General features: G+C 41.4%; 1 protein-coding gene and 1 pseudogene across 5 annotated transcripts in view, besides 1 other annotated feature; one reads left to right on the top strand and one right to left on the bottom strand.

Moving 5' to 3' along the window:
- The window catches only part of C3orf49 (chromosome 3 open reading frame 49), a 68,930-nt gene that overhangs the window by 28,204 nt on the left and 21,726 nt on the right, over nt 1-19,000 (bottom strand). The window contains exons 1-2 of one of the 3 annotated variants that reach the window (XM_024453353.2): nt 5,307-5,454; nt 837-976 (exon numbers count right to left, since the gene is read on the bottom strand). The exons of 1 other annotated variant lie outside the window; for it this stretch is intronic. In XM_024453353.2, coding sequence (XP_024309121.1) covers nt 837-961 — 125 coding nt within the window. In that variant the 5' untranslated portion in view covers nt 962-976; nt 5,307-5,454. Of the gene's footprint in view, nt 1-836; nt 1,135-5,306; nt 5,455-19,000 lie in introns of those variants that run through there. One more of the 3 variants, NM_001355236.2, reaches the window with a different exon arrangement.
- Nucleotides 1,668-1,787: a silencer, noted in NCBI's record as "silent region_14497". NCBI's record gives its function as "represses an Ori minimal core promoter by ATAC-STARR-seq in GM12878 lymphoblastoid cells {active_cell/tissue: GM12878}" and the evidence as "EXISTENCE:reporter gene assay evidence [ECO:0000049][PMID:35858748]".
- Nucleotides 6,796-19,000, top strand: part of CDHR18P (cadherin related family member 18, pseudogene) — a 55,641-nt pseudogene continuing 43,436 nt past the window's right edge. For both annotated transcript variants that reach the window (NR_197414.1, NR_197413.1), the window contains exon 1: nt 6,796-6,905. The product of NR_197414.1 is annotated as a cadherin related family member 18, pseudogene, transcript variant 2 (transcript). The remainder of the gene's footprint in view (nt 6,906-19,000) is intronic.

Here is a 19,000-nt window from a genome sequence, read left to right as displayed (position 1 = left end):
CTGCTGCAATTTCTGATATGAGCAGAACCCTCCCCTTCTTAAGTTTTTAAATATTTTTGTGTTGGTACTGAATTTATTTGGTTGTATTGCTTCCCCCGGAGTGCCTACTTTTCATTGAAAGTGGAAATCTCTGCAGTATTTTATTTTGTCCATGGAAGTTCACAAGCTTGGTCTTTGATGCTTCCAGGACTCATTAAAACACCTCACTTCTACATGTCTGAACTATAGCCCATGGACCTGGTAAGAGAGAAGCCCAAAGAAATTGGAAAATAAATCACCACACTGACTTTCCAAATTAAAATATATTATATTTTGGATGTTTCATACCTGTCTATATGGTTTTGTCATTGGCAAAAAAATAGCAAGTCTAAGGCAGTTTTAACGTTACATTAAACAATGTGTCCATAGTGAAATGTGATTAGTACATATTTCAGCAGCCCAAATTGCTGGGATAGGAGAAAGAAAGCACTGATCGTGGACCTATTTCGAAGAATGCACTAATGACTTTTCAAAATAATAGTATTTTCACGGGATGTGAGATGTCCAAAATTCTGATGCTGAAATATCAACATAGGATCAGAACTTATTTTAGTCTCCTATGCCACATTGAAACTTAATTTCGAGTGGAAAGGAAAGGTTTTCCCTGTTACAATTAAGATGTTTCTGATCATAAAATGAAGCTTACATTGTCACACTAGATTTCTTGATCCAACGCAGTACCCTCCCCGCCAATCCATCCAGAGTCCTCATTCCTAAATGCAATGCTTAAAAGGACATGCCACTATGCCAAACCCAAAGACTCTCATTTGACAGAAAAGGAAATGAATCTCTGTTACCTTTCTATCCCCTTCCTTTTGAATGAGCCATTTTTCTTCTTGAGTTGCTGGAATCTTCGGCACTGTCCAACTTTTCTGTAGGCAATCTTAAAGGGTTCTGGTAGATACAGCTGAGGTTGGGCCATTGCTCTCAACTTCACCTGTAGTAGCCGTTTTGGATTGTTTTAGTTCTTGAACTTACAGACTTCAATACAAAATCATCCAGTGACTGAATGTACTGTCAAGGTGTGGGCTATTCGGAATAAAATATGTAGGAAATTTTTAGAGTCTTTCCCTTATTCCCTTCCAGGTGTTAGAGACATTATTTGTGGGACTGGCCCTGTTTACAACTTCACAGAGGTCACCAGTGATGTATTTGACAGAGCTGTGTGAAATTCCATGGACCTTTGTGGAACACTTCACAGATTCTTGAACAAGGCAAATACAGAAATGATGATCTGATTGCCTCAATGCTGGCATTTGGATAGAAAAAAAAAATCAAACAACAACAACAACAACAAAAAACACCCACACACTAATTGACCACCACATTCAGAAGTGCGTATTTGAACTCTGAAGTGGTAGGGACCTATAGGAATACCAACGATACGCTGATTAACACAAGTTGAGCTTCTGTTAGATCTCTCAGTTACAGCTGGTGAATGTTCTCTGTGTCCTGTGGGACACATATGACAAGGCCAGTTGTTGTTTGGACATCTCAAAATGTACCCCAAGGGTGGTTTTCATTACATCTTGGAATTTTGCAGTGGTCTCTCAAAGTACATTGCTAAATTGAGGACCTGATCCACCCCTCCCTTCCAACATTGCCCCATTTATTTCGTGGTGAAGAGCGAATTCTGCCTGTGATGGAACTTCTCACCACAAGGTGGCAGCAGACACTAGGATTTATTCCTGTTACCCTCTCGCGGTTTGAGTTGTTCAGTCAAATAACTAGATGCTTAACAAGAAAAACTCCTCTAGAAAGGTTCTGGGAGTTACAAGAATTACTCTGCTTTCTGTGTTTGCATTAATCAATAATCTGGAGCATACTTCTCAAGCTTTCAAGTGCACACAAACTTCCTGGAGGTCTTTTTAAGATGCAGATTTCGATACAGTACATCTGGGCTGGGATCCAAGAATTTGCACTCCTAACAAACCCGCAGGTGACGCTGATGATGCCAGACTGCACTTGGAGTAGTGAGGGTCTTGTATGTTTCAGTACTGGGGAAAAGAGCTTTAAAATGGTCTAGAATGAAGTGTATAATGTTAAGGGGCTAAGAGAGTGGATTTGGGAATTATGCATGAGTTCTCATTTCTAGCTTAGCTATGTGACCTTGGCCAATTCATTTTAACCCACCCATGCTTGTTTTCTCATCCCTAAAGTGGGACAACTCATAGTGCCCAAGCCATAGTTTTATGGCAAAATTCAAGTGAAATAGAAATTCCGCTTCAGCAGGGAATGAGACCCAGGAATCCATATTCTAGGAGAGTGGGTGCAGATGTTCCTCTGTCCCTTATTTGAGAAACGCTGAAGTAGAGCATATCTAATATGCCTTGGCCAAATGGACATATGCTCCTCCCTGGTCTGTTTTTCCTCATCTGTTGGCATCCTCAGAGCACAATAAATAATAGGTGCTTGAATAAATGAATACATGAATATTTTCTTTAGCAACAGGGCAATATTTTTCATGCAATTATTGGCACTCCTGCCTTAATTCTGTTGTATTTCATCAATTATCTAGATGAATGAGATGAATTTTATGCTAGGAAAGACAGCTGTTTTTTATTTGTGCATGGGTGTCTATGTACATGTCTCTGTGTGTGCATGTCTGCATGTATGTGTGTATGTAATAGGCTGAAACACTTGCTGCTGTGGCATCTGTGACAAAACTTGTAGGTTCCCAAAGGAGTCCTGAAGCAGATGACAGAACTAGAAGGAGTGGGAAGGGGGTGGGGAAAGAGTTAGAGTATAGAGAGACATCAATTTTGAGCTGTGTCTGGATTTACATTCTAGATCTACCCCTTCCAAGCTTATGGGTCCTTGGGCGGGTAACGAAAACCTCTTTGGACCTTCATTTTCTCGTTCGTAAAACAGGAGTAATAACTGCTACCTCCCAAGCTTCTTTGAGTCATTCAGTTATTTAACAAATATTTGAATGCCTAGTGGTTCCCAGGCACCACCCTAGACACCACCCTAGACACCAGGGATACTGCAGTGAACAACATACACAAAATCTCTGAACTCATATAACTTAATATGCTGTGGGAGATGCAGGTAACAAGGAAATGAACATTTTAATTTCAGCTGGTAGTAAATGTTATGAAAAAAGTAAAAGAGGATGATGGGATAGAGTGACTGAGGATGAGGAGTGACTTTAGATGGAGCGTTAGGAAAGCCTGTCCAATGAGGTCATTGGTCCTGAATGCTGAACGGGGAAAAGAGCCAATCGTGTGAAAATTTGTGTGACCCAGGCAGATGAAACAGCATGTGCCAAAGCCCGGAGGTGGAAGAAGCCCAGTGTCTTTGAAAATGTGGAAGAAAGCGGTCAGGTGCGATGGCTCACGCCTGTAATCCCAGCACTTTGGGAGGCCGAGGTGGGTGGATCACGAGAGCAGGAGATCGAGAACATCCTGCCTAACGTGGTGAAACCCCCATCTCTACTAAAAATACAAAAAAATTAGCCGGGCGTGGTAACGGGTGCCTGTAGTCCCAGCTACTCAGGAGGTTGAGGCAGGAGAATGGCGTGAACACGGGAGGCAGAGCTTGCAGTGAGCCGAGATCGCGCCACTGCACTCCAGCCTGGGCGACAGAGCAAGATTCTGTCTCACAAAAAAAAAAAAAAAAAAAGAAAAGAAAAGAAAATGTGGAAGAAAGCTAGGGTGGCTGGAGCAAAGAGGTAGATGTGTGTGATAAGCTGGAGGGAGGACCAAATCTCTTGAGTCCTATAGATCAAATTAAAGGTTTTGGTCTTGATCTTCAGAGCAATGGGGAGTTGTTGAGGTTTTTTTGGTTTGTTTGTTGTTGTTGTTGTTGTTTAAACAGCATCTTACTCTGTCACCCAGGCTGGAGTGCAGTGGCACCACGCTCACTGCAACCTCTACCTTCTGGGTTCAAGCGATTCTTGTGCCTCCTGAGTAGCTGGGGTTACAGGCACGTGCCACCACGCCCAGCTAATTTTTTGTATTTTTAGTAGAGACGAGGTTTCACCGTGTTGCTCAGGCTGGTCTGGAACTCCTGAGCTCAGGTGATCCACCTGCCTCAGCCTCCCAAAGTGCTGGGATTACAGCCTTACTGAGGGTTTTTAGGGAACTTGTTCATATATTTATTCAGGGAAATGGAATTCAGTTGTGAAGAAAATGACTAAAATCCTTGCCCAGGAATTACAATTCTAGTGGAGGACACAGACACCAATATGTTAACCAATAGAAAATTGTTTCAGGTACTGACAAAGTATGCTATGAGACAAATAGAAAAAAAAAAACAAAATCAACAAAGAAAAAAGAATTAAAAATAAATAAATAAAAAGAAAAACAGGCCAGGCATGGTGGCTCATGCCTGTAATCCCGGCACTTTGAGAGGCCGAGGCAGGCAGATCACGAGGTCAAGAGATCGAGACCATCCTGGCCAACACGGTGAAACCCCGTCTCTACTAAAAATAGAAAAATTAGCTGGGCATGGTGGCACACGCCTGTATCCCAGCTACTCAGGAGGACGAGGGAGGAGAACCTCCCGGCTTCACGCCTCCTCGCTTGAACCCAGGAGGCAGAGGATGCAGTGAGCTGAGATCAGGCCACTGCACTCCAGCCTGGCGACAGAGCAAGACTCTGTCAAAAAAAAAAAAAAAAGAAAGAAAAGAAAAGAAAAAAACAAACAAATAAAAAGTAGAAAAACGTGGTAGAAAGTGACTGGGAGTGGGCACTCCTCCAAAATCATCAAGAAAGATCTCTTAAGGAGGTGGTGTTTGAAGTGAGACATTTAATGTTGAAAAAGAGACAAACTATGCTGAGATCTGGGAGAGGTATTTCAAAGACAGAAAACGACATGAGCAAAGGTTCACATGCAGGTGCAAACCAGGCATGTCTGAGGGCAGGAAGAAGAGCAATGTGGTGGGAACATAGGTGACATGGGGAAGGCATAGTTATGCATACGTTTTTAAAATGTTGCTGTGTGCAGCTTGGAGAATACATTGGAGAGGAAAAAGTGAGTGTTGAAAAGTCATTAGGTAGGCACTTGGTCCAGGCCGGCAACAGATGGGGGTGAGGAGTACCAGAAGTGTGCAGATCCAGGCAATATTTAAGAAGTTAAATACTGAAATGAATTGGGATATGGGGGAGATACAGTTTGGATATGTGTCCCTGAAATGAACTGGGATATAGGGGATGATACAGTTTGGATATGTGTCCCTGCCCAAATCTCATATTGAAATGTAATTGCCAGTGTTGAAGGTGGGGCCTGGTGGGAAGTGATTGGATCATGGGGCAGTTTCTCACCCATGGTTTTGTGGCATCCCCTGTTACTGTCCTCGTGATAGCAAGTGAGTTCTTGCAAGATCTGGTTGTTTAAAAGTGCGTGGCACTCCCTGCTCTCTCTCTTGCCCCTGCTTTCACGTAGTGATGTGCAAGCTCCCACTTCGCCTTCAGCCAGGATTGTGAGCTTCCAGAGGCCTCCCAAAAAACAGATGCTGGTGCCATGCTTCCTGTACAGCCTGCAGAACCATGAGTCAATTAAACCTTTTTTTTAGTAAATTACCCAGTCTTGGGTATTTCTTTATAGTAATGCAAGAACAGCCTACTATAGGGGGTGAGTAGAGAAGAGATACTCAGTTGGGGTGTTAAGTTGTTGCTGTAGTCCAAGGGTTTAACTAAAGGGGGAACAGTGGAACTAAGGAGAAGGGCACCCATTCAGGAGTCCCCCATCAGTCAACTCTCTTTATCAACCACCCTTCACAGGACATGGCTTGGAGCTATCCCTGTGTGATCATTCCCCGGACATTTGTAAATGTCCCTCTGAAAAGCCAAAAAGCCAGCTGTAGCAGGACAAAATCTGGTCAAAACACAATCTCCCTTGTTCTTAACAGTATTCTTCCTTTGAACATGTCTGAGATTGCATAATCCTATTCAGGTAACCATGACAACAGTTGACTCCTATTGAGATAGCAATTGATTGAAACCTCTAAGTCAGAGATTGCAAACATGAATAACCGCAGGAACCAAGCAGGGAAATGTGAGAAGCAGTGGGTGGGGTGTAAAAGGGAGGGGTGGGAATTGTGGTAAACTGTAGAGTACTGGACCAATCCAATTCTATTGAACTTCAAATCTTTAAGAAGACTCGCACATTTAAAAATGTGATCTGCAGGCCATATTTAGCCTGTGGGTCACCAATTTGCTGCCTCCAGAGATGCTTTCATGTTAACTCTCTGTTCAGCCAGGTATCTCCCATCAGTGCTCCTAAAGGTGATTTTCCCCTAAGCTTTAAGTTAAACATACTCACAAGCATTCAGTTGGCTCCTGGCCCGTTATTAGACTGTTTTTGCATCTTCTTGCTATCTGGTTGCATACTAACCTTGCCTAGCAACTTGTAAGCCCTCTGCAAACTTGGTAAGCTGAGATTCTAGATTTTTATTCTGAGTCTGGGTGAAGTAAATACATAGAGTAGAACAGGACAATGTCACTTTAGTGACCCGGAATCATTGTGAAGCAGAATCCTTTGATACATGAGTTTCCTGAAGAGTCCTCACTAATTCTGGCCACCCCAGTTTTACCAGGATTTGGGAGACCTTTGCATGTGGGGAAATAGCAACTGGGGGCTTTTCCACCTGGCTCAAGCAAATCCTCTTGCTGAAGCTTTTGCCCTTTTGAGAGAAGGAGGTATCACTTTACAGATCACTCAGCAACAACTGTGTCTCGGGAAGTGTATAGAGGGTGCCTGGAGACACAGTGTTTCTCCTGGGAAGACTCCTTACCAAGGGGTGAACTCCCCAGAAGTGAGCAAAGGTGCAGCTGGAGTAAAGTGTCTTCGAAGAGCCAACAGGCTTCCAAGTTAAATCATGCCTTTTTTTCATTTGTTTTTTGTGTTGATTGCTGCCCCAGGTTAGTATTTCTAACTTAAGACTCATATAGCTTTGAAATAATTATTTGGTAGTCTATCAGTTGGCATTTACTCTCTAACTTCTCAGTGTTGGCCTTTAAAATTGCCCAGTGCTCTGGGCTGTACCCCACTGGAAAAACAACATATGAATCAAAATGTCCTCTCAGATGCTGTTGATATCAATGGGAGTAAGCTCTTTGGAGAGCAATTTGGAAATACCTGCCAGCATCTGAAATCTTCAGCCTCAGAGCCAGCATTCCACCTCTGGACAGCTATCCTACACAAGTACACAATGATATAAGGATATATGTAGTTGTATTTGTAATAACAAAAGCTAGAGGCAACCCATATGTCTACCAGTGGAGGATTAAATGAATGGTGCTTCATGCATACTATGGGTATTGGAGCCATTAAAAGAAGAAGGTTGGTGTGGGAGTTCCGACGCGCAGGTAAGGAGGTAATCTGTGGTGTACTGTGGAGTTCTGTGGAGGCAGGATGTGCTAAAGCTATGAACACAAGAAGATCTTTTTAAAAACACCTATCTACATTCACATGCCAACAGGCATAGAAAATCCTGAAATAATGTATAACAAAGATTTAACTGATTGTTTCTGGAGATTACGAGTGAAAGTGGTAGAGCAGCAGAGGTGGGGAGAAATATGTAGGAGATTTAAAATTTTTTACTTTATAGACTTTACTGTTTGACTTAGGAAAAGAATATGAATTACATTTACGCTAAAAAATTAAACCCAAAAGTTTAGAAATGAATCACAAAAATTTTGAATGCATAATAACAACGGTTTAAATTTTTTTTCTCTCATTATGGCATGAATTGATTCATAAAACAACTCAATTGATGAATTCAACCATTTGCTTTAGAATCAACCACTTCTAGAATTGGAAAAGAGCCAAACTGTATTATTCACAACAACAAAAAAAATCAAGTAAAATAAGGATAAATGATAGGTATCTTAAGGACTGAAAGATCTAATGAAATGTAAGAAATATTTTATTTCAACTTAGTTTGTTATATTTTGACTTTTTTATGTGTTTGGGTAAAGATTTTTATCTTGAATCTGGAGACACACAGTGGAGATGCTCAGACATGTTTGGCCTATAGCAAGTTTGTCCAACGTGTGGCCCGTGGACCACAGGTGACCCAGGATGGCTTTGGATGTGGTCCAACACAAATTCATAAACTTTCTTAAAACATTATGAGATTTTTTTGTGATTAAAAAAATGTTTTTAGCTCATCAGCCATCATTTTTGTTAGTGCATTTTATGTGTGGTCCAAGACAATTTTTCTTCTTCCATTGTGGCTCAGGGAAGCCAAAAGATTGGACAACCCTGGCCTACAGGATATTTTGAATATCAGAAGATTTCACATAAAAATTTCCATTTCAGGATCCTCATAAAAAAATAAGAGTCCCTGGCAACTCAGCCCACATTCCCAGATAGGCAGAGGAGTGGCACCCCAGTTGGGTGGGAACAAGTTCTCAGTTTACCGCAGTCGCTACCACTCCCAGTGCTCTACACCAGCTGTCAGGCATTATTTTACAATCTCCATGAACAGAGTTCAACTAGTTTTTTTTTTTAATTTTAAATTAATTTTATTTTTAATATATTTTTTCTATTGGTTCTGTCTTTCTGGAGATCAATTTTTTTTTTAATCTCCTCTTGTCCTTGAGTATGAAGAGGCAGCATCTCAGTTTCCATCATTCTATGCCAGCATTTTCACATAGCATTCTCTATTTTTTCACAATTTGTCTTTGTAATACAGCTATGAGCCTATGATTATTTTTATTCTTTTTATTTTATTCTAGAGAAGGGGTCTTGCTATACCTCCCAAGTTGAACTGAGGCGCAGGTGATCTTCCCACCCCAGCCTCCCAAGTAGTCGGGACTATAGGTGTGAGCCAGTGTGCCTGGCTCTATTTTTTTTTGTTTTTTTTTTTGTTTTGTTTTTGTTTTTTGACACAGAGCCTTGCTCTGTCACCCAGGCTGGAGTGCAGTGATATGATCTCGGCTCACTGCAAGCTCCGCCTCCCGAGTTCACACCATTCTCCTTCCTCAGCCTCCGGAGTAGCTGGGATTACAGGCCTCCGCCCCCATGCTCGGCTAGTTTTTTGTATTTTTAATATAGATGGGGTTTCACTGTGTTAGCCAGGATGGTCTTGATCTCCTGACCTCGTGATCCGCTCGCCTCGGCCTCCCAAAGTGCTGGGATTACAGGTGCGAGGCACCTCGCCTGGCCGTGCCTGGCTCTATTTTTATTATTTTTAGTTATTGACTTAATTTCAGAAAGTGAAGAGTTTTTTATTTAACTATTTTAACAGGAAATGCATAATAAAATGCCAGCCCTGCTTACTTAAATAACAGTTTGGACCGAATATGGTGTCTCACACCTGCAATCTCAGCACTTTGGGAGGCTAAGGCAGGCGGATCACTTGAGGTCAGAAGTTTGAGACCAGCCTGGGCAACATGGCAAAATCTCATCTCTACTGAAAATACAAAATTACTCAGGTGTGGTGGTGTGCACATTTGTAATTCCAGCTACTCGGAAGGCTGAGGCACAAGAATTTCTTGAACCCTGTAGGTGGAGGTTGCAGTGAGCTGAGATCGCACCACTGCACTCCAGCCTGGGTGAGAGAGTGAGACTCTGTCTCAAACAAAACAAAACCAGTTTGGTGGATGGGTTGATATTCTCGGAAAATTATGATCCCCTTTTCTAGAGATTATCGTATGTTAAGGGATTGAGATTGTTTTTCAGAATATACCTTTAGTGGAAAACCAAATTATTCCCAAGTTTCTCAGCTCATGCAAATATATTGAAGAAAAACCTAAAATCAATTCACTCTTTAATGCAATGGCAACAAGACACCATCGAATACAGATATAAGCCGTCATTGACATGGCCCAACCTGTGGAATTGAATAGAGAATCCGAACCAACAAAATGACATGTAGTAGCAAGTTTTCAAGTGCATTCCGTGTCACGAAATAATAAGGTCTTGACCCATAGGTCAATAGGCTTGATATACTTCAGTTAGCAAAAAAGGATCATTTTATGTATTCATTTATTCACCTGATCATTCCACAAATCTCTATTAAGTGCCTACTATGGACAGACACTGTTCTTAGTACTGAGCATACAGCGAGGAACAGATGAAAGTTCCCAATTTCATGACACTTGTATTTTAAGTGGGAGGGGGATAGGGAGGAGGCAAAAAAATGAACAAATAATATGTGAAATTTTAAGAGATAGGAAGTGTCTGCAGGGGTGGGAAATTTTTTTATTTGGCCTGAGAAGACCTCTCTGCTATAGTGACATTATATTAGGTTGGCACAAACGTAATTGCGGTTTTTGCCATGACTTTTTTTTTTTTGAGATGGTGTCTTGCTCTGTCGCCCAGGTTGGATTGCAGTGGTGTGATCTCGGCTCACTGCAACCTCCATATCCTGGGTTCAAATGATTCTCCTGCCTCAGCCTTCCCAGTAACTGGGATTACAGGCACCACCATGCCCCGGCTAATTTTTTGTATTTTTAGTAGAGATGAGATTTCACTATGTTAGCCAGGCTCGTCTTGAACTACTGACCTCAAGTGATCCACCTGACTCAGCCTCCCAAAGTGCTGGTATTACAGGCATGAGCCACTGCACCCGGCCTGCCATTACTTTTAATGGCAAAAACCGCAATTATGTTTACTCCAACCTAATAGCAGAGACCTACAGGAAATGAGTAAATGAGTCATGGAGAGATCCAGGGAAGATGCACCTTGGACGAGGAGAATGATCAGAGCAAAGTCTCTGTGGCACAGACTGCTTGATGTGTGCAAAGAACAGACAGGCCTGTGTGGCTGGAACAGAGGGAGGGAGAGCAAGAGTGGTAGAAGATGAGGCCAGATAGATAACGAAGGGCCTAACATGTGGGATCTGGAGGCAGTTGTGGGAGTTTGGCCTTTTGCTCTGTGTGAGACGAGAAGCTCTTAGAGGATTTTGAGAAAAGGAGTGATGCTACCCAATTTCAGGTTTAGCACATTGGCCATTCACTATGGGCAGCTCACTCACGTAAGATGTGCTTACTGATATTTTCTTACATAATCAAAATAACCTCTGTGTTAATTTTCTTTTCATGCTGCAACAGATTATCCCAAACTTGATGATGCCTTAAAACAGCATAAATTTGTCTTACAGTTCTGTAGTTAAAAGTTCTGACATGGGTCTCACTGGGAAGAACTCAAAGTGTTGGCAAGGCTATGCTACCTTCTGGAGGCTGGAGGGGTGAATCTGTTTCCTTGCCTGTTTCAGGAAAGTCAATGAGCAAAAATAAAAAATATCTAGTTAACAAATTTTATGGTTCAGAAATTTTCAGACTATTGCTTAAACAGAAAGGTTTTATATATCCTAAAGCCCACCTTTGGAAGTAGAAGATAATTTTTTGATTCAGGAAAGAGGATGGTGAAAATATACATGATTGGAGAGAGGCTTGCAGCCACCTTCATGAAATAGATTCATGAGGTTTTGGAGAGGAAAGTCTCCTTTGATGGAGACCAAAAGAAAAAAAAAAGCACATTAATTTTCCAGTACTTCAGTGCCAGAGGACACCACAGGTACCGACGGAATTGGGATTGTGTGCACTGAAATGGTAAGAGTGAAAGGGATGTGGGTGGGGCACTGACAGTGTCTGCCTCACTGTTGTTTCCTGGATACATCACATTTTCTCCTGGGCTGAGTGTACCTGGGCAGGGAGTGAAGGGGTAGGTATGAGGCCCTATTCATCCTTGTGAATTTCTTAAGTTATACCTAATACCTAGGGACCAACCTTACCATTCAATAAAAGCTTGACCAACTAAATTGGAAGAGAAGTTTTAATTCGGGAATGAAGAGGCAATAGGACCTGAATTCAGGGCACTTTAAAAAAATTATTTGCTTTTTCCAAAGATGTTCTGAGAGTCTAGCCTTAGTTACCTTTGCTAAAACCTTCACTGTAAAGAAAAAGCTCAGCTGAAATTAAGGGAAGCAGAGAACAAATAAAAGAGAGAGAAAGAAGAAAACAGAGAAAAATACAAAGTAAGCCAGCACAGTAGGACATATAATGACTTTTTGTTTCCAAATGCATTGTGACTTCGAGCATTGAGTAATTTCCTGACACCACAGGGTTAGACAGAAGTTGTATGAAATAACATCATTTAGGGAACTATTTTTACCCAGCTTTCATACATCCTGTCTAATAAAACATAATGAATTTATGTAAAAAGAAACTCTACATTTTCTATGAGAATGAATGACAAATCATAGTGACCAATAATCTGTATCACTTATCTCTTAAATAACAATGAGGAGCTTCCTAACTGGTCCAGCCAGAGGCTTCTAATTGAGTGACAGTTGTCTTCTAGCCTCAGAGAAGATGAGTTGCTTGTCCAAGTTGTCATTTGTCCAGTGAGACTCAGAATTAGGATCTGAGCCAAAATCTGCTTGATCGGAAAGTTCGTTCATTATGTCGTTCTCCTCCTTCCTCCCCAGAGCTATTGTTCAGTTGCGTGAGAACTTTCTCAAATTTTGACATTCTGAAAACTTTCACTTTTTCTTTTTTTCTTTTCTTTTCTTTCCCTTTATTTATTTATTTATTTATTTCTCTTTCTTTCTTTCTTTCTTTTTTTTTTTTTTTTTTTTTGAGATGAAGTTTCACTCTTGTTGCCCAGGCTGGAATGCAATGGGGCGAGCTGGGCTCACTGCAACCTCTGCCTCCCGGGTTCAAGTGATTCTCCTGTCTCAACCTCTCGAGTAGCTGGGATTATAGGCGCCCACCACCACGCCCGACTAATTTTTGTATTCTCAGTAGAGACAGGGTTTCACCATGCTGGCCAGGCTGTCCTCGAACTCCCAGACCTCAGGTGATCCACTGGTCTCGACCTTGCAAAGTGCTGGGATTACAGGTATGAGCCACTTGCCCAGCCAACTTTTGCTTTTTCTCATTTTTACCCAAGAGAAGTTCATCCTGAATCATGAAAGCATCTCAGTCATTTGAAAACATGAGATTTGGTTCCAGCAAGTCAAATTTTGGGTTCAAATCCCAACTCTGCCACTGATTAGCTGTATAACATAAAACCACTTGGTGTTTCTGTGTCTCAGCATTCTCATGTGGAAAATGGAAGAGAGAATAATCATACCCCTCACCCCAGGGTTGTTGTGAGGATTAAATGAAAAAAATATGAGTGAAAGACTGTCCTACAAATGATCATTAATATTATTTATTATTCATTCAAAAAATATGTATGAGGGCCCGGGTGCAGTGGCTCACGCCTGTAATCCCAACACTTTGGGAGGCCGAGGCAGGTGGATCACGAGGTTAGGAGATTGAGACCATCCTGGCTAACACGGTGAAACCCCGTCTCTACTAAAAATACAAAAAATTAGCCGGGCGTGGTGGTGGGCGCCTGTAGTCCCAGCTACTCGGGTGGCTGAGGCAGGAGAATGACGTGAACCCAGGAGATGGAGCTTGCAGTGAGCCAAGATCATGCCACTGTACTCCAACCTGGGCCACAGAGCGAGACTCCGTCTAAAAAAAAGAAAAAAAAAATGAGGTATTCTTATTCAGTTATCAAATAAACACATTTTTTGCAGTTAGAGTTTATGGTTCCCCGAGGAGTCACCCAAACTAAAGGCAATTATAATACAATGTGTCAAATGTCATGATGGGGTAACATGCAAACACTGAGAAGGAATACTGAAGCAGAGTCAGGCAGGCCAGGAAAGACTTTCTGAAGAAAGTGATGTCTAAGGGCCAACTGAAGAATGGGTAGAATGTTAGGAAGTTAAAAATGCTGTAGAAAAAATATATATAATTGTTTAGAGGTGGACTAGAGAAGTGGAAAGAAGTTCGGGATAATTGCAACGAGCATATGAAAAGGGACGTATGGAAAGATGAGGCCAGAGACACGAGCAGGGATCAGATATGGCAAGGCAGAAGACCTTTCTAAACTTCAGTATTTATCTGAATTAACTGATCATATCTGATTTCCTTAATACTGTTCTCTTACTGAAATGGCCAGTGCCATATTCTTTATGTTTTGTTGCACATTGCAAAACATTATTATATCACATTGCCTTAGTTCAGATTCTCTTGAAAGCCAACACTAAGGGAAGGGTTCCAGTGCAAGTACTGTAATTAACTTGGGAGCTGATCCCAGGAAACACCCAGAGTGGGGTAAGGAAGCCAGACAATGAATGGTAGGCAATGGATAAAGGGTGTGTTAACAAGCGTGTTAGCGCCAGGGGCAACCAGAGCTCGATTTCATTGGGGTACTCAGGAATCCAGTGTGGAAGCACACCTCAGTGTTATTTATCCACACTAAAGGTGAGGAAGCTGAGGTATTTGATCACCATATCCCTCTTGGCCATTGCTTGAGGACAGCTTCCAGGGGACTTCACTCTCTGGCACTCTGGCTTATCCTTTGTGCAGGAGAAGCTGCTCTCCAGGCAGAGTTGTAGAAGTAGTATTCCACTTGTAGAGGTGAGTATGGAGGAAATGGGGGCGGGGCACTGCGCAGCTGCTACACATATTTTTTAAAGTATAAAAAAACAAAACCAAAACAAATGAAAAAAGACCAGCCCTTGCTGGGAGACAGTTCTCCGTGGGTCTCTTGCACTTCTGTGCATCTTGTGAGCAGAGGCACTGGTTGCCTTTGTTCTGGACAATTTTTTTTAAGCATGTTTAAGTAGTAATAGAGATACTATTTCCCTCTGAAGCAGAGGATGGTTTGTTTAGCATCCAGTGTAATAAAGGTATTTTCTCCCTCCAGGTCAAAGGTCAGGCAGGCTTACTGCTCGTTTTATAAGATGTGGGTTTGTAAGTTAAGGGTTTCTCAACTGTGATACAAATGCAGACCCAAAGCATGCAGAGCATCTATTTAGGGCATTTGTTTTTGCCCCCGTGGGGCCTGAGGAACAAAGAGAAAGGATGTGAACATGAAGCTTATGCTGGTTGCTGAGCTATGAGTAATAAAGTCCTTTGTCTCTGACCCAGAAGTCTTGTGTCTTCTGCCAGCCTCTGTGAAACTGCAGTATGGTAACTTGTAGGGTAAGTTCTGAAATCTTTCTCAGCTCCTGATGACCCTACCAAGCCAACTCAACTGATCTTTAAGACATTTAATTTAAAAAATAACTTCTAATTAATAAAAAAAGTAATAAAAAGAAGTATTTATTGCACTTTTCCTTTGTGGTTTTAAAATACAAAATTGGTTAGGAAGCCTTGTAGAAATCCTCATTAAAAAGCCAACTTTTGTGTTTCCTCTAAGATGTTCTAGCTTTTCCAAATTTTGTAATTGAGAATGCCAGCCCTCTTCTGGAAAATGCCTCTGAATATACACAGATTGCCAAAGTCACTGTGTCTGTCTCACCTCATGCTTCTCTGGTTGGAGATCCTGTTATTATTAATGCAAATCCTGCAGTCCATCCATTTGTGCTGTCTCATAGATCCATACATCTTTGGGAAGTAAGTATGTTGGCAAACAGTATTATCACTTGATACCACAAGGTCTTTAAAATGAAATATCATTCTGTTTTTTCTTACCTTCTACTGTATGTTATTAATTTGGTGACCACTCTTTGGAATCCTATTATATGTCAAACACTCTAAAAATCCTTAGGGACATCAAGATCCATTTATTTCACAAGTAATTATTGAGAATCTACTGAGACACAGGGAATTCCTTGCCCTCATGGAATTGACTTGTTCATAGGGAGACATACTGATCAAGTGAATATACCCAAAAGTATTAGGTTAGTGCAAATGTAATTGCAGTTTTTGCCATTACTTTCAATGGCAATTACATTTGCACCAATCTAACATAAAATTGTAAATGCAGTAACAGCCAAGAAAGGCAGACTCACAGGTCTGTGGGAGTCCCTAAAGGGGACATTTTAACTAGTCAGGCTTCCCTGAGGAAGAGCTACATGAAAAGCAATCTGCAGAATGCATAGGAATTGAATAGATAAAGAAGAAGAGAAGAACATTCCAGGCAGAGGGAGCAGCATGTGCGAAGTCCCTGTAGCAAGAAGGAGCATGGTAAAAAGAGAAGACTGAAGGATCAATGTGACAGGAGCCAAAGAGAAAGCACGTGGGAGATTATACTGCAAAGGAGATGGGGAAGGCAGAGCCTGCAGTGTCTGTGAGCCATGTTAGGAAGCTTTGTTTACCTAGATGGCTATATCATACCCAGCTAGATAAAATATAGCTAATTTTTCCCTCTGGATCAAAGTTTAGGCAGGCTGATTGTTCACTATAAGAAAGGGGTCCCCAACCCCCAGGCCACAAACCAGTATCAGCCCATGGCCTGTTAGGAACTGGGCCACACAACAGAAGGTGGGTGGCAAGCAAGCAAGCGAAGCTTCATCTGTATTTACAGCTGTTCCCCATCACTCTCATTATCTCCTGAGCTCCGCCTCCTGTCAGATCAGTGGCGGCATTAGATTCTCATAGGAGCGTGAACCCTATTGTGAACTGCTCATTCAAGGGATCTAGGTTGCGTTCTCCTTATGAGAACCTAATGCCTGATGATCTGTCACTGTCTCCCATCACCCCCAGATGGGGCCATCTAGTTGCAGGAAAACAAGTTTAGGACTCCCGCTGATTCTACATTATGGTGAGTTGTATAATAATTGTATTATATATTACAATGTAATAATAATAGAAATAAAGTGCACAGTAAATATAATGATCTTGAATTATCACGAAACCATTCCCACTCAACCCTGGTCTGTGGAAATTGTCTTCCATGAAACCAGTCCCTGGTGCCAAAAAGGTTGGGGACTGCTGTTATAAGAGATCCAGATTCCCTAAGGTCAGAGTTTCTTAGACCTTGATACAAACCCACTGCATGCACAGCATTCAGCCGGGCTCCTCTACATGGTCCCCATGGCACGTGAGAGCAAGGGGACCAATGTGAACATGAAGCTTATGCTGCTTGCTGTGCCGGAGTAATAAAGTCCTTGAGAGCAGCATGTTGTTTAGCTGATCTAGCCTGGTTTGGCTTCAGTCTGCAGGTTGAGTTCAGGTCTGTCTCTTGTCCTTCCCATTCTCCTTGGGACACTGGCTAGCAGAGGGACATTCTTCTCTGGGCAAAAGGAGGAGAGCAAGAGGATTTCTCAACCCCACATGTACATTTCAAGACCCACATCTGCGCATATCATTGGCTAAAACAAGTGTCACATATCCAAGCCATGGGCTGAAGAAATATACTCTGTTTTTATTAGGAGGAATTGCCAAGGCACACGGCAAAAGACATGAATATAGAAAATATTAAGAATTGGGGATATTAAATCCACCTCCCACACTTAAGAAACCACTAAGGAGTTGTGCAGGAAAGAGACATGATTTGCTTACAGCTTAATTTGCTATTGTAAAGAGAACAGATTTAAAAGGGGCAGGAGAGGTCTGTTATGAGGCTTTTGAATATCCTTGCCAAACCTTGGTATTGTCAGACTTAAATTTGCTTCCAGCTTCAGTTTGGTGTAAAATGTTTTCTCCTGCTTGTTCTTAATTAGATTTTTGTTTTAAGTCTAAATAGCAGCAGAATGATGGCAAAGAGTGTTCAGTAGTTTTGCTTAGTGTGTGTGTCTGTGTGTGTGTGTCTGTGTATGTGTGTGTGTTTCTGTGTGTGAAGGTAGTGAGCACAGCTGCTCTAAGCACTGATTTGGGGGTCTGATAAACCTAGTTTTCAACCACAGCTCCTTCAGTCAGTAGAAACATGACCTTGGGTAATTTATTGGACTTTCTGCACTTTAATTATTATTTTCAGGGATTAGCAAGAAGATTCTAAAAGATAATGTATGGAAAGTGCTGTCTTACTGCTTTGTCCATAGCAAGCAGTCAACACACAATAGCTGTTACTGTAATAAATATACTTATACTTCAATATTTAGCATTATTATAGCCAGATTACAGGTAATAAAAAAACTAAGAAAGATGTGGCCACATAATCATAACTGTATTAAAGACAAGCTTTAGAAGTAGTTCAATTATGCAGCAGTTTCATAACAAGCAAGTACACCTGCAGATAAAGGCTAAACGAAATGAGTTAATAACTGTTTCTACAACATTGCAGTACAAGGATGGAAATACTGTTCTATTTGGGGTTTGGCATATCCCAGCATATCATTATCCTTTTCTGAACTTCTTTCCTTGCAGCATATATGCTTGTTTGTTTTGCAAAAGACTGATTGAGCTTAGTTAGGAAGGGCGATTGGTCAGGCAGTCAAACAAAAACCAACAACCACCAAATGAACACCAAGCTAGTCTCTGCAGAAACAATAGCAAAGCTTGAAGTGAACTGATTATATAGATAAATCAACGGAAATGAGACAAGGTACACTCCAGTTATGTAATCTTCAAATTGCGACCTGTCATTGAGCAACATAAGTGGGGTTGCATAGGCAGGTTGGGAAAATGAACCCAAGTTACCCTTTCTGTGTTCACCCTGCCTATTCCCTGGATGGAAGTAATCTGCCAGATGGAGACTTAAACCATCTTCCTGTTTTCTCCCAGTGTAAAGAATAGGCATTTGCATTGATTCAATAAATATGTGTTGAAAACGAATGGGAAGCCTGATACCATGTAAGATGCTAGGGAGCAAAATGGACACACTTGCTGTCCCTGGGGGCTCCCAGGACAGAGGGAAACATACCTGAAGGGCCAGCTTGAGCCCAGGGTTGTATTTCTTGGTTAAGGGAGCTCCTTGAAGTGGATATGTCTACATAGATGCTCTTCCCTGTGCCCCTTGTACTCTCAAAACATCATGGCTATAATAGTGATAAAAATGACAGTAACAATAGAAATGATAAATGGCTGACGCTGGGCACTAACTATGTACCAGGCACTGTCCTAACAGCTTTAACTGTACTACTTTATTTAATGCTCACAACACTAGAGGTAAGTTCTACTCTTATTTCTATTACGTAGACAACAGAAAGGTGAAGTAACTTTCTCAGTGTTGAGAATTATTCATTTATTTGTTTGATGATTGTGTACTAAAAATTATCTTATTTGTGTGATTATTTAATTAATGATGTGTCTATATCATTAAGCTAGAAGCTTCACCA

This window comes from Homo sapiens, chromosome 3, assembly GCF_000001405.40.
Source record: "Homo sapiens chromosome 3, GRCh38.p14 Primary Assembly".
NCBI classification, from domain to species: domain Eukaryota; kingdom Metazoa; phylum Chordata; class Mammalia; order Primates; family Hominidae; genus Homo; species Homo sapiens.
This window is presented reverse-complemented; position numbering and strand designations above follow the sequence as displayed.